Here is a 1770-nt window from a genome sequence, read left to right on the forward strand (position 1 = left end):
ATATATGAACTCTGACTAGGTATCAGCCACTATTTTACTATATACCTATACCTATATTTGTGTGTATATCTATATGCATTATGTCATTTGATCCTCAGACAACTCTGTAAGAGTGCAATTACTACCTACTTTACAGGGATTCTGAAATTGAAGCTTAAAATTATTAGTATGAGGCCTAAGGTTACTCAGCTATTTAATGTAAAAACAGCATTTAAACTCAAACATACATTATGTCTAAGTTCCTTCTCAATTACCATGCTGTGTTTTTAAGAAAGTGTCTTTCCAGTTCCTGTTGGAATTATTGCCAGAGCCCTACTAGCAGCAGCCATTCTTACCAGCCTGAAAGAGAATATTCCATTCTGCTGTTTTCAGCAATTTGTTGTTCATGACCACGTAATGTTTACACATGGCCAATTAATTACATATCATATCTTTCTATGCCAAAAATGTGAATCCATTTAAAAAAAGAGTTGAACTTTATTGTTATTTTATTTTTGTGTACCCCCCCCCTCCACTAATCTCTTTCTCTAAAGCAATCAGGAAAATATTACATTAGTTATCTTCAGATTATACGGCAATATCAAAGCTATCAGGAGAATTTAACTACAGAGGATAGACATATAAACAGTTTCTGTTACAAGGTTTCCTCTCTTGTTGGCCAAATCTCTTCCTGGAATATACTGCAATATCACATTTGGTTTGGCATTTAAATTTGTAGGGAGAATGCAAGGAATATGTGTTGGTTATATGTATGGTGAACATAAAATGTATAATTCTACCTGAAAGTTTTAGAGAGTAAACTGCTGGACAGAACATCTACTCAATACATGTATATTGAGACTATTCTTGGAAAACTGAGACCATTTGCCTGGTTATGTGTTGCTTCATCTCTTAGGAAGTGTGAAGAGTTTTAGACACATTTTAACATTTTTGTACTTTTCCTGGCAAGTCACGGATGTATCTTTCCAATGTCAGCTACTTATTTATAGCCCAGCAATGCACTAGATCCCTGAAAATGACAGACTGGTTTGTTCAAAATGAAAGGAAAGTTGAGTGCTGGGTGGTTGTGTCCTATTTGATAGGAAATTAAAACATATCTTTGCAGATAACTCAAGCCTTTCCTTCTCTGCTAAGTGAAAACAATCATTAAAGTTCTCTCCTCTACTTATAAAATGGTCTGAGCTTTCCAGTGTGTACCAGGTTCACAAAACTCAAAGACATAATTACCTTCCCCTCTCCCTCCAATTCACCTACAGATGTGAGCTTTATGCTCTTTCTCTCTTAAACTAGGGACTTTTACGTATTTCATATATTGTTAGCCACTCAAAAGAAAGCCTTCATTCATGTGCCTCCATTATTACTTTAGTAATATGTGTATTTTTGAAAATTTAGATTTCTTGGTATTACCTACCATACCCAAGTTTTATCAAAAATGGAGAAAAGCAGTCAAGTCTTATGTTTATGTAAGTCATGTGAACACTTTAAAGGCAAGGGAGTTTATTTTGTGAATAACTTATGTCTCCTCAATATGCACGTGTCAGTGAATATTGTTGAATGGATAAATTAATTATTTGTTGAATATTAATGGTTGAAATTGAGAGGGTCTTGAATTATCTAATAACCATCATTTTTAGCAAAGGTATCTGAGGCAAATTCACACTCATAATGCTCTAATCCCCATTCCAGTATCTTTCAAATTCTTTTTTACTGGGGAAAAAAACTATGTATTTGAAATACCTAAATTAATGTGTTGCTTAAAAACTCAACCAT

Source organism: Homo sapiens, chromosome 10, assembly GCF_000001405.40.
Source record: "Homo sapiens chromosome 10, GRCh38.p14 Primary Assembly".
Classification (NCBI taxonomy): Eukaryota; Metazoa; Chordata; class Mammalia; order Primates; family Hominidae; genus Homo; species Homo sapiens.